This window comes from Homo sapiens, chromosome 21, assembly GCF_000001405.40.
Source record: "Homo sapiens chromosome 21, GRCh38.p14 Primary Assembly".
Classification (NCBI taxonomy): Eukaryota; Metazoa; Chordata; class Mammalia; order Primates; family Hominidae; genus Homo; species Homo sapiens.
In genome coordinates, this window is record NC_000021.9 from 15,649,624 (window position 1) to 15,663,310 (window position 13,687).

Consider the following 13,687-nt stretch of genomic DNA (forward strand, 5'->3'; position numbering starts at 1 on the left):
TAGCAAAAAAAGATAAACAACATGTTGGAAAGCATGGATATGGTTCATAATATTTTTTGACTGAGCAATTAATTCTTATAATGACATTTAAAGGCTTTCTGAGAAAATATGAGAAAACTTTTAAGAAAAATGTTTTAAGTATAATATATAAAGGATGATAAAAGATCTGGAGAAAGGAAAGTATCCTGCTTAAGTCAACAACTCCTACTGTAGACAGAGTTTTTAATAAAAAAAAAGAATTCTGACTATAAAAGATAGTTTAACCATGTAGTTTTTATCTTGGAGACTGAGGCAGCATTTAAACCACAGAAGAAAGAAACCAGGTAAATTTATTTTATGACTCCGAATTCATAATAAAAAAAGAGCACCTCAATTTCAGGCATATATTTTGTTTTCCCCCAGGATAAACATATTTTCACAACATAATTTGGCACATTTTACAGCCAAAGTAAAATATGCAGGAAAACACTATAATATTAATGATAACTCTACAAACTGCATGGAGAAAACATTACTCAATTATCAGTTAAGTGAAATTCAACCTAAGTGTGGGGTTTTAATCCCTCCTACATGTAAATGTTTATATGTTGTATGTGTTTAAGGTTCATTAGCTCAAAATGTATCATACATTCCCTAATGAAAAGTTATTTCTTATGGGCCTGTATATCTTTTTGGTTTGTATTGCAATTTGTACAATGTCCTGATGCACATTTTTTATTAATGTTGTAATTACATTGTAAATTTTTTTTGTTTGTTTGCTTTTTTCTCTCTTCGAATGTTAGTGCATTGAAGACAGAAACTACCACTTCTATAAGATCGTTTTAGTTCTTTGCACAGTGCACGGTACATGGTACTTATTCAATAAATGTGTAATGAAAAGCTTTACATGTATATAATGGCCATGCTCAGGATATTTAATTTCCCTAAAAACTGTTAGTTCTAACTATGAAGCTAGTTAAGTAATACAAACTTTCTCATCCTTATAAATGTTTTCTTGGGATCTATAATTTTGTATAAGCTTTCCAGTGAAAACTTTAATTCATCCCTCTAAAATATTGTATAAATTCTGTAAACAAAAGAAAATTTCCAAGTACCTTTCCCCCATGAAATATAATACCATTAAATGGCTCTGTTATATTTTGGAGAGGAGCTATCTCATCCAAAAATAATAGAAAATCATGAGTTTTAACATTTCCGTAAAACAGAGCATAAAGAAGTGTGAATCTTCTCTTGTTCTCAGGCGTGCATATTCTGCTCTGTTCGTTGCTAAGATACACTAAACTTAAAAGTACAGAAATGCAATTTGGCTCCTTAAAAATAGGCTATGCAGCTTTCTTATTTTTGACAAAATTAGTCTCTATGGAACATACACAATCTCAGCACAATCATCTATTTTAGTCACTTTCTGGCCTTAGTTAATTAGATAGTGTTTTGTAAAGATTTTAATTTTAAGTTTTCATTTTGAGAGCAACAAAGTTATTTGCAAGCACTAACCAAATATCTCTGGTTTTTGGCTTCCCACCCTTCTTTTAAGTGATCTGTAAAAAAACAACCCCGACATGGGTTTTTGCAAGGAAAAGCCACACTGATCTCAATTTCTAAAAGTAACTGATTCTTGTGTTCTTCCATTTCTTCTTCTTTTTCCTGAAAAAGTAAAGTTACTTCACAGGCCAAATCTATTTATCTTGAGGTGAGGTGGTGGTGAAATTGGGTCGAATACCATGTTGCATTCTCAGATCATGACAAATCTGGCAGACGCATCTTTTCTAGTTGAGCCAGATAAGAACTATGGGCATCTTTATAAGGTTCACATCATTCCTGTTGGGAAGACCAACCTCAGAACCTATTACTTGTTTGGTAGTGTCAGTATGTTCAAGCTGAATTACACATCTGGGCATATCCCTGGGCACCAGCCTTAAAATCTGCTTATTTTCTATAGGATCCTGCCTTTCAGGGGAAGGCATGAAAAGGTATAATTAGGAAAGAATACTTGTATCTATGTAAATTTTAAAGATGCATATATATGCGGATATATATGTGTGTATGTATGCATATACACATACATACAACAGGTTGCAAGATCCCTGGATCTGAAGATAGCAGACAAGAATCAAAAATCTCTGCCACGTATTGCCTACTAATTCATAACCCCTAAATTGGATTCTATTTTTTTTAGTTCTCACACGATTTCACATTCCCTTTCTTTCCTTTTACATTAATGGCTTTCTTAATTCTTGGTAGGATTTTTTTTTTCCTTCTCATTTTTCTCTTCTAGCACCTCTTACCCACAGAATTCCATCTTTTTCTCTCTTCTTTCCTCACTACACAGTCTACATGAACTTCTTCACTGTCACATTTCAATTAATGTCCATACGTAGTACTTGATAAATATCTGTCTCCAACCCATCCCTTTTTCTTTGACACTCCAAATTCACATCTCTGAAGCTATGTCTTCGAATGTAATTGTCACAAACCAAATTCATACTCTACTACTCCATTTCTGCTCTTCCTCCTTTCTTTCTTATCTATGATTCTTATGGTAACAGTGCAAAGGCTGGGAGAGGAAAAATAGAAATGTATTAATGTAAAGTTGTCATACTACTCTTGAAGTGATATAATACCACTTTCTGTTAGACTCCAATATGTTGAAGGTTTATGCTATAAGCACTAAGGTAACCAAAAGATGCTGCAGACTATTATAGCATCTCTTCAAACAGACTTCACAGAAACTTGCAAGCAGCCTGTGTCTATGACATCAGTTGGCATGAGCAACAGGTTTTTGATTTTGGAGAACTATGTTTACCTGACACTGCAACAAAACAAAAGCAGCTATACATGATAGGAATGAATACAAATATTAACAACTGATACCATTGAATTTTTGGAGGGTGAGGAGCCCCTCAAGACAAATAGAGACTTTCAATTTTAAAAGAGCAGATATTGTGTTTGTTCCCCTGACTTATTTCTTAAACCAGCTAATCATTTCATGAGCCGTTATCTATTCCTTGCTGTCTTCTTTTGCCCTGCTCAAACTTTCACCACCCCCAGTTGTTTTTCTTCATGCACGTATACTAAATTTCAGGGCTAAATGGTTTCATTGTTTTGGTAAAGTTGACATTTCCTTTACTACTTCTTTTTTTTTTTGAGACGGAGTCTCGCTCTGTCGCCCAGGCTGGAGTGCAGTGGTGCGATCTGGGCTCACTGCAAGCTCTGCCTCCCGGGTTCACACCATTCTCCCGCCTCAGCCTCCCGAGTAGCTGGGACTACAGGCACCCGCCACCTCACCCGGCTAATTTTTTGTATTTTTAGTAGAGACGGGGTTTCACCGTGTTAGCCAGGATGGTCTCGATCTCCTGACCTCGTGATCCGCCCGCCTCGGCCTCCCAAAGTGCTGGGATTACAGGCTCCTTTACTACTTCCTATTTGTATTAAATTATTGGTTGGCTTAAGAAAGGAGAAACAAGGAAGAAACAATATCTATCATTTTAAAACTTCAAGGACCTATTTCTTCAAGAATTTCACCACCCAAAAAATTAAAGGGTCTCTATCAGAAATGTTTTTATTTACTCACAGCTATTATGCTTAATGTTTTAGTTTTTTCTGAATTCAGCTTACTATGTTTGAAAATCATCACCTTTAAAGAAATCTGACAGTATAATTTTGCAGGTACAAGGAAAAGAAAAAAAGCCATCGATTCTGTAGTTTGTTAAAACTAAAACCCATTCTCCCTTTTTCTCTTATCGCCAATCAATCTTTCCCATATTCTACTGAGCAAAATGACTGTTGCCAAAATCAGTTCTCAAAATCCAAATATGAAGCTTCTAGAATGTTATAATGTAAAAATAAAGTATGCTACATTCTGGAGTAAAAATTTGAGGACACACAGACAAGGACATACCTGGGTTGGCTCAATCTTGCTTGTCCTGTGGTTTCAGAAATCTAAATTGATTATTTGGATATCTTTTTCGTGTATTTTAACGCTGTGTTGTGCCCACCAAATTAGGTTGCTCAAATGTCTGATCCAAGAGGATTATGGAAGCATTCTCGAGTATTTTCATCTTCCGTGTTCCTCTGGGCTTTCTCTCTTGAAGTCATTTTATTAGTCATCCTCAAATGGCTTCTACTGATGTTTCTGATAACTTGATGCTGCCCTGGGAATGCCCATCACACAGCTGTCACCACCATCTGGAGAACTCATTATCTCTATGAAATAGTGTTCTCTTACCTATGGGATATGACCTTTGCTAATTACTCTAGTGGAGTAAAAAATAATTTCCCCATCATCATTTTATCCTGCTACCAGGTCATGTGGCAGCCACATGACTCCATCCCATAGTTTCCTGTAAAAAGACTGGTAATTCGACTTTTATTTGATTTACTCTTTATCACAGCTTTTACCTCCTAAGAACTTGGGCAACAGTCCAAAGTGGAATGGATCACAAGTCAAACTGAGTATCAGCACATTATCACGTCCTGGCTACAGAAATAAAGATTTGAATTATTTGTTTTTCCCACCATCGGGTGCCCTTAGTTAAAGTTAACCCTCCCTTATACTACATAGAAATAATCTACATTGTAAGATCATCTGCATTAACAAGTATATCTTTACATCTCAGATAAAATTGCATCTTCCTTCTCTATGGTAGCACTTACTACTGATGTATCATTATATCTTCGGGCTCATGTGCGACAAATGTTTTCAGCAGGGCAGAGGATCTACTGATAGTTGTTAAGTGCTTCCTCTGTGCTGGCACTGCGCTAAATACTGCACATGTTTAACGCACACTGCACTCACTTAACCCTCACAAAAATCCAATGAAGTAGGTACTAATACTATCCCATTTTGCAGATGCACAAATGGAAGCAACGAGGCTAACTAGAACCCACTTTGCAATAAGCGGAGGAAGCAGGGTGAGAACCCAATCAGTGCAGCAACAGAGACTTCACTCTTAACTAGTGCCCAACTGCTTCTCATAATAAAACATGTGCTGCTAACCACTTCTTAGCCTACATCATGTTGACGAACTTTAGATTGATTCTAATCTTTGCTTTTATGAACAGTATTCTAGTGAATGTCTTTGTATGCACGTCATTTTGCACATAAGCATTTATCAATAGAATAAGTGTCCTGAAGTAGAATTTTTGAGTAAAAAAAAGTATATATGTACATTTTACATTTTGATGAGTATTGCTATAATGTTCTTCATAAACCATAGTCAGAATTTATGTTCCAAAAGCCATATATTAGAGTAAAACCATGTATTTTACAAGTTTCAAGTTACTTTTGGAGCATATCTACATGTTCTTTGCTTTTATTCATTCTCAGGTTCCCTCCTACACCAAATTGATACAACTATCCCAGGACTTGGTCCGCAAAGTGTTTTGTTCAAATATTCAAAATCTAGGCACAGGTATTTCTTAGTACTTCATAAGATGGGGAAGGATGAAACCATCTGCATAATTGGATATTTTCCCCATTACAATTGGAATATTTGAATTCACAGATGTTAAATAGGGTACCACTTTATCACTAGGTTTTCTGGAAATCAAATATTAACTACACATGGGAAAACCCCCAGTTTTTGTTTGTTTGTTTGTTTTGAGACAGAGTCTTGCTCTGTTGCCCAGGCTGCAGTGCAGTGGTGCGATCTCAGCTCACTGCAACCTCAACCTCCCAAGTTCAAGCCATTCTCCTGCCTCAGCCTACAGAGTAGCTGGAGCTACAGGCACGCACCACCAAGCCCAGCTAATTTTTGTATTTTTAGTAGAAAGGGGGTTTCACCATGTTGGCCAGGCTGGTATCAAACTCCTGACCTCAAGTGATCCGCCCGCGTTGGACTCCCAAAGTTCTAGGATTACAGGCATGAGCTACCGCACCCAGCCAACCCACAGTTTTTCTATAGATAAATTGTTAAATGTCGAAATATGTTCAACATAAACTTACCACAAAGAAAGTGGAGATTTAAGAACAAACTTTAATAAAACTGGGGAAAACTATAATAGAAAATTTGTCTCAAAGTAAATAATTGGCAGTTAGTACATTGAAGATTTTTTAATACAAACTTTTTTATCTCACAAAATAAAATCTAAATAGAAAATTTACCATAGTATGATTTTTTCACATGTTAAGATAAAAATTAAATTGAAGCTAGTGCCAAAAGGGAAAAACTAGATAAGTTATAGTAAATAACTAGAAAAGTCATAGTAAATGTTTAAAGAGATGTTGTTATGTTAGTTAAAATAAATTAATTATATAAATATAGATTTTAAATCAATTTTGAGTTTCAAAATGAGTCACATGGATTTTATAAATAATGTAGCTTGCATTACAACGACATATTTACAATGTTTTCAGTTGAGTGACTAATATGAATCAGGCACCTTCTCATGTGTCTGTTCATTTAAGACCAAAGAACAACATCCCATTGAGGTGGGAATTCTTCATCTCCCTTTTACAGACAAAACTGGAGTTCAGGTGAGCAAAGTGACATATCCATAGTCACGGACAGACATAGTTAGCTATGCCAGATCTCAAGTCCCACAAATCTAAGACAGAAGATTCGGTTGTAATTAACAAGAAGATATTTCTGACCGATTTCTGAATATCAGTTGAACTAAGAACTCCAAGGAAGTATCTTTGGAAACACTTTAACCTCAAGTTTTAAATATTTATTAAGTTTCTATAATACCATTTGGGGTGTTTTGGGTGGTGTTGTTTTTGACAGAGTCTCACTCTCTCGCCCAGGCTGGAGTGCAGTGGCGCCATCTCGGCTCATTGCAAGCTCCGCCTCCCGGGTTCACGCCATTCTCCTGCCTCAGCCTCCCGAGTAGCTGGGACTACAGGCGCCCACCACCACACCAGGCTGATTTTTTGTATTTTTAGTAGAGACGGGGTTTCACCATGTTAGCCAGGATGGTCTCGATCTCCTGACCTCATGATCCGCCCACCTCTGTCTCCCAAAGTGCTGAGATTACAGGCGTGAGCCACCACTCCCGGCCCTATTTGGTTTTTAATTGTCCAAAATAAATTGGAAGAAATACATTGTTCTTTGTGAGTTAATTACTTAACACTTTACACTCCCAAGAACTTTCAGAGGTTCAAATGCCTTCAAGGGCCTCACAATTCTAGGGCTAGGCTGGAATAAGGATATCAAAAGAAATAGCTTCAGAGGCATATGAAAGAGGCATGCTCTTGGGAAGGTATCCAACTTCAGAAATATTTACAACCTTATGAACAAGAGATACCAAATGTCCAGTCTGGGCCTATGGTTTTGGCGTTGGTGTTTCGGCTACTTCACCAAAATTAAACCTGAATATTTACAGTATCCAGAAAAATAATAGCAATAAAAATATGATTGTAAATTGAATTCTAAAAACCAAACTCGTTGTGAATCATAACACTCTGCAGAATAAACAATATTATAAATGTATATTTTGTTTTGGCCTTGGTTAGAAAGAAAACACTAATTTTTTAGAAAACTATATACATATTTAGATAGAATAGGCTAAAAGTCTATCCTACACAAATTTCAAATTTAAATACACTGCTACTCAGAACTAACAATATCAGCCTCATTTTATATCTCAAAAGGGATGTGAGCTATAAATAAAAGAAGAATATTATGTTGCCCACACAGTGTCAATTGCACTTGGCAGAGTTTGCTACCATCTCTTTTCACTGGGAGACTTAACAGAGATATAAAGATTTTGCAGTGTCCATAGTTCTGCAGGTGGTTCCTCTCCTCTAAATCTCTGATCTCATCTACATAGTAGCTTTCCAAAGGGAGAATGAAGTTCTGTCAATTTTAACACAGAGGATAATAAAACAGCTAAGCCCACTTAAAAAATTTTTTTCCGTAGGTTATTGGGGTACAGGTGCTATTTGGTTACATGAGTAAGTTCTTCAGTGGTGATTTGTGAGATTTTGGTGCACCCATCACCCAAGTAGTATACACCACACCCTATTTGTAGTCTTTTATCCCTCACCCCCTTCCATCCATTCCCCCCAAGCCCCCAAAGTCCACTGTGTTATTCTTATGCCTTTGTGTCCTCATAGCTTAGCTCCCACATATCAGTGAGAACATATGATGTTTGGTTTTCCATTCCTGAGTTACTTCCCTTAGAAGAATAATCTCCAATCTCATCCAGGTCGCTGCAAATGCCCTTTATTCATTCCTTTTTATGGCTAAGTAGTATTCCACTGTATATATATGCCACAGTTTATTTATCCACTCGTTGATTGATGAGCATTTGGGTTGATTCTATAATTTTGCTATTGCAAATTGTGCTGCTATAAACATGCATGTGCAAGTATCTTAAAAAACAACAACTTCATGCCGTATTATTGTTCATTTGACATCAAGCTCTATAACATTCTATACTTTCTAAATGAAGCAATGCTGAATAAATTATTCATTTTTGTTGGCCAAAAAAATGTTTTCAGATTCTAGCTAAAAATCCAATTCACTAGCACTTTAAAAACCTGACAGAGGAAACCCAGACCCCTATTTATAATTAAGACTGAAGAGTCACCTGCTACTCAACATATCCACACACAAACTCCTTATCTTTGCCCCATTAAGCCTTTTCCTTCATCATAAATTCTTTAGAAGTTACTGAAGGTGCAGTTTAAATAATCATCCATGACATATGTTGTGATTGCCCTGATTACAAGATCTTCTACTTCTCTCTCTTTTGAAACTTTCTAGTATTTGTCTGCAATATTCAGATCCTTCATTTTATGATAATCATTTGTACATGTTTACCAACTCTGATGTCATTGTAAATTCCAAAAAGATGGGCGGTATTGTATTTCTTAACTATTTTACTAAGGAAATAGATAAAAGGATACTTATGATGTGTTCCCAGCTATCAAGAAACCAAGAAGTCCAGCTTCTTAGTGTTCCACAGAGCACCTTACATATCTGTAAAATTTGAGTTTTTTATTAAAAAAATGGGATTCTTAGCCCATAACAATAGCTGTAAAAAAATGCAGACAGTGAAATTTTTTAATTTATTGGACTTCATTTGAAGACATCATTTTTTAAAACCCACCAAAATGACAGCATAAAAAGGAGCAAGGGCAATGAATTAATACTGTGAATTGTATTAATATATTTTTAGAAACAAAGGATAACTGTAGTAAATAATAACATTGCAGGTTCTGTTTTCTTGATTTGTTTTTTGTTTTTAAAATAACTAAGCAATTAAAAGGAACACATTTTAATATTAATAACATTATTTGTGGTTAAGGGATGCAAAAATGATTACAAAGAATAAATCAGATCTAGCATTTGACAGCACAACAGGGTGACTATAGTCAATAATAAGTTAATTGTACCTGAAATAATAACTAAAAGTATAATTGACTTGTTTGTAACACAAAGGATAAATGCTTGAGGTGATGGATGCCCCGTTTACCCTGATGTGTTTATTACACATTGTATGTCTGTATCAAAATATCTCATATACCCCAGGAATATATGCAACTACTATGTACCCACAAAAATTAAAAATTTTAAAAATGACTTAAATGTCAGGAGTAGAAGTGCTCTATTCTCTCCCCTTGAGTGGGAAAGTCTAATTTGACATTTTAAAATTACCGTTTATTTACTGAAAATAAAAATAAAAGTTCAAACTAAAAAAATAGTTAGATTAAGTAAAATATTTCATATTAACTAAAATAGGTACTTACCAAATAATGCAACTGTATATTACAATGTGCAGTTCATAGTTTTTCACTGTTTTAATATTTAAATACAAGTAAAACTGTAAGTTGTCACAAAGAATGATAGAATTGAAGTAAGTCAAGTTCTGTTTCTTCGTGTTTACAATGTGCTGCCATTATTTATTTTGATCCACTGTTTAAATAGAAGAATATGTGTTACCATGGTAGTTAGAGAGAGAACTGCACCCACCAGTGTGTGTGTGTGTGTGTGTGTGTGTGTGTGTGTGTGTGTGTTTAGGGAGAGGCAAATCTATCCAAAGAATATTCCAAAGTAACTTTCATATAGAATATAACATTCATCAAAGGTTAAGTAATAAAACATTGCCAATGGGAAGCTCACATCCATGTTATTAAAACCCAACAGTTACTACAACGATCTTTTAGAATTTAGAGATCTTTTTCTGGCAGGAGTATTTTACCATGGTATTGCTTAGAGTCTGCTGATGCCTGGTGATAATAAAAAGCAGACTGACTTTAGTGAGTTTTATTGCTGTTTTCAAATCTTTCCATACAGGGAATTTCTTGATCCCAGCCCCACCCACACTATTCCACTGCCTGAAACCTGCCATCCTTAACTGAGATCAGGAATGTTCAAAGACCTAGCAACAGGCCTCATCAAGTTATTTTATGGCAGTGATCACAGTGGTGACTGTTAATCATTGGCAGAGTTACCCTTTGCAAAGTACACAGAGGCTTCTTTTTAAACCACTTTCCAGTTTAGCACACTAAATGAGGATGTTTGTTTGGAATGTTACCACAAACAGATTTAAATGGTTTTCCTATGATACTATGAATTTTCTTTTAATGCTCAAATGCATACAAGTTCTTAGCTGTCAAATTAACAAGATAATTCCTTCTCTTTTCACTTGCTGTAGTAATAGCAGTATAATTAGGAGTGCAGCTCCAGAAGAGACTGTTTAACTCCTCAGCTCCTCGGTCAAAGCTTATTTCTTTTCCCCAGTTTCACAAACTATGAGCAGTGGGGTCTCGGACAAATTTCCCAACATTTAAAATGCGTGGTAAAATGATTACAGTAGTACTTGCTTTCATAGAGTGGTTGCAGGGATTAAATTAGATAATTTGTGTAGAGTAGGTCTCACACTATCTGAGATACTGAATGACAAAACATGCAAAATTGTTCGCTCCTGCTATTATTAAAATAGAATAATCTGAGAAAAGAAAAATAGCTCAGAGCAGTCAGATATGTAAAGTACGCAAACTTTATCAGGCTTGGAGAGACATGAGTTCATACAAGTCATCCATGCCCAGGGGACAAATGTTTAAAGGCATCTTATTCCCAGCTAGCTGCTTATGTTCATGTTCTTGGAGTTTGTGATACAAAGAATAATGTACAGCCAATCAATAGCTTATGTTATTTTAATGTAAATTCTTGGTAAACAACATAGAAGTTGCCTCCTTTTCCCCCTTAAAAACCCACATGTAACTGCTGCTAATCAAAGTGTATATTCAGGGCACTTAATTCTGTGCCTAGTGGCCACCCTCAAGCTTTGGCTCAGAGAAACTCTGTACGTGATGGTATTTTCTGAATCTGATTATTTGAGGTTGACATGATAAATCAAACCAAAGTATCTGACCTCCCCCAACCTCTCACCTCTCCCTAAATGCTACATTGCTGCTACCACAAAGAGGGGTAAATTGCAGAATTTTTCCGCCATTCTTTGCTCTCTTAGTTTTTAAAAATCTTTTAAATTTAATCTCTCATATCTTCATTTGTCATTCCAAACTGGAAATAATTTTGTGTGGTGTCACAGTATAAAACATTAACCATTTTGCCAATGAAATATTACCATTTCTAGATTTTTTAAAATCTGACATCTCAACCATTTAAGTTTTGGGGACCCATTTCAAGTTAAGGACTCTATTCATTTAAGAAAAATTTTTTTAATGCCAAGGTAGACTAGTACCAAGTTAAATCTCAAAAACTAACCATATTCTGGTATTATAAGGAGCTGCCTGCAAGAAAAATATTTTTCTAATCCAAAAACTTTCAGAATAAGTGGAATATGAACGTGAACATGGCAGTAAGCCAAAATTTCCATCAATGCATAATGAAACCAAAGGAGATATCAAACCCAAAATTCTTTACTTAGGAAAAAAAAACGCTCAACTTGACACCAATAAAAGGTTACAACCTTTTCAAAAGCAAAAAGCTTTTCAAAAAGCCCTTCACAAAGTTATCAAATGAGATACTGGATTATTTGAATATGGTGACAGAGGGAAACATTTTGATCGGCTGATCAGCTGAAAACAAACTCATTACACTCCCACCTCACCAACTAGTTTAAAGTCAGGAAAAAAAAAAGGTTATTAGCAACTGGAAACTTTTTCACAAAAATATATGCCTATTGTCTTGGTGCGGTGGCTCATTCCTGCAATCCCAGCACTTTGGGAGGCTAAGGCAGGAGGGTTGCTGGAGCCTAGGAGTTTGAGACAAGCCTGGGCAACATAGTAAGACCTGGTCCCTACAAAAAAATTGAAAAATTTGCCAGGTGTGGTGGTGTGTGCCTGTAGTCCCAGCTACTCAGGAGGCTGAGCCTGCAAGGAGGCTGAGCCTGCAAGATGGAGGCTGCAGTGAGTCATAATTGTGCCAGTGAACTCCAGCCTGGGTGACAGAGCTGTCATATACATATATACATATAATATTATATAATTTTATAATATATTAATATAGATCCATAATAATATAGATCTATATTAAAACATCAATATTAAAACAATAATGTATATTGACTCAGTTGTTATCAAATTCAACTTACATAGTACCTTATAAATGTTTTATGAAAGTAAATACCAGTCTGTAAATATTTTTTCCTAAATTTGTAAATAAATTGTATTAAATCTTTAGTACGTAGGTTTTATTGGTTAATTCTAATAATTCTGCATTAAAGACTGGTATTAAAGCAGTATTTCAGTATTTTTCAAATCAAACACTCAAGATACATGTATTTCAGTCACTCTATTCATGTTCTCCTAGCTCGCTCTGGAGAAAAGAAAATATTTAAAATATGTCTTCAGCTCATTTTCACATTCAACTGATTTCATCCAACCTCTGGCTAAGTAGGAAATATGTGCCAGATTAAAGTTTGATGATCAGCAATTTTTTTTCTATACTAACATTTTTTTCTGCTTACAGAACACTGTTCTATCATTTTCAGTACATTTCACAGAGGATCACATAGGCAAATTTAGATGTCCTTAATGTTCACTTATTTCTGCATACAAAAGTCAATCAGATATCTAGTTACCTTATGTTCCAAATAAAAATATGTTCCAATATATTGATGTTGAAAGAAAGAAGAAAGGATTACATGGAGCATTTTTGATGTCACCTTGAAGAAATTGTCATACACCATCTGCTGGTTTATTGAGCATACATAATAGCAATGTTGATGAATTCTTCTTTAATAAATGATACATATTGACATAACCACCAAATATATCCTAATGACCAGAAACATATCAAGGTGACTAGAAATGGATCCAGCTTAAGTTATCCATGTGTATTTTGAATCTGTGAAGTGACTAATACTCTAAATAATCTATTTTGTGCTATGCTTCATTTATAAAGACTTGTAAGTGCGCCTTTCAATCTAGCTCACAAAAGAGGTTCATGGTCTTCTTTGTCTTCATTGTCTCTGTGGGCTGTCTTCTGAGAATTCTTACCCCATTAAGAATATACAGGCTGAAGAGGTCAGTCTACTAGCATGTCAAAAATAATTTAGAAACCATTCTCTCTGTTTTATGCCTTGATTGACCAACATGAACGTGTTGGGAAAATTACACCTATAGCCTATAAATGGAAATTATTCCATAAATCATTGAGATCAAAGTCTTCAATAACTTCCAAACAAAAAAGAAATGAAACATGACTTATTAAGCAGAAAAGCTGGGAGTTCAAATATGGGTAAAGAGGAGGGAGGAAGTTTGCTATATAATTAA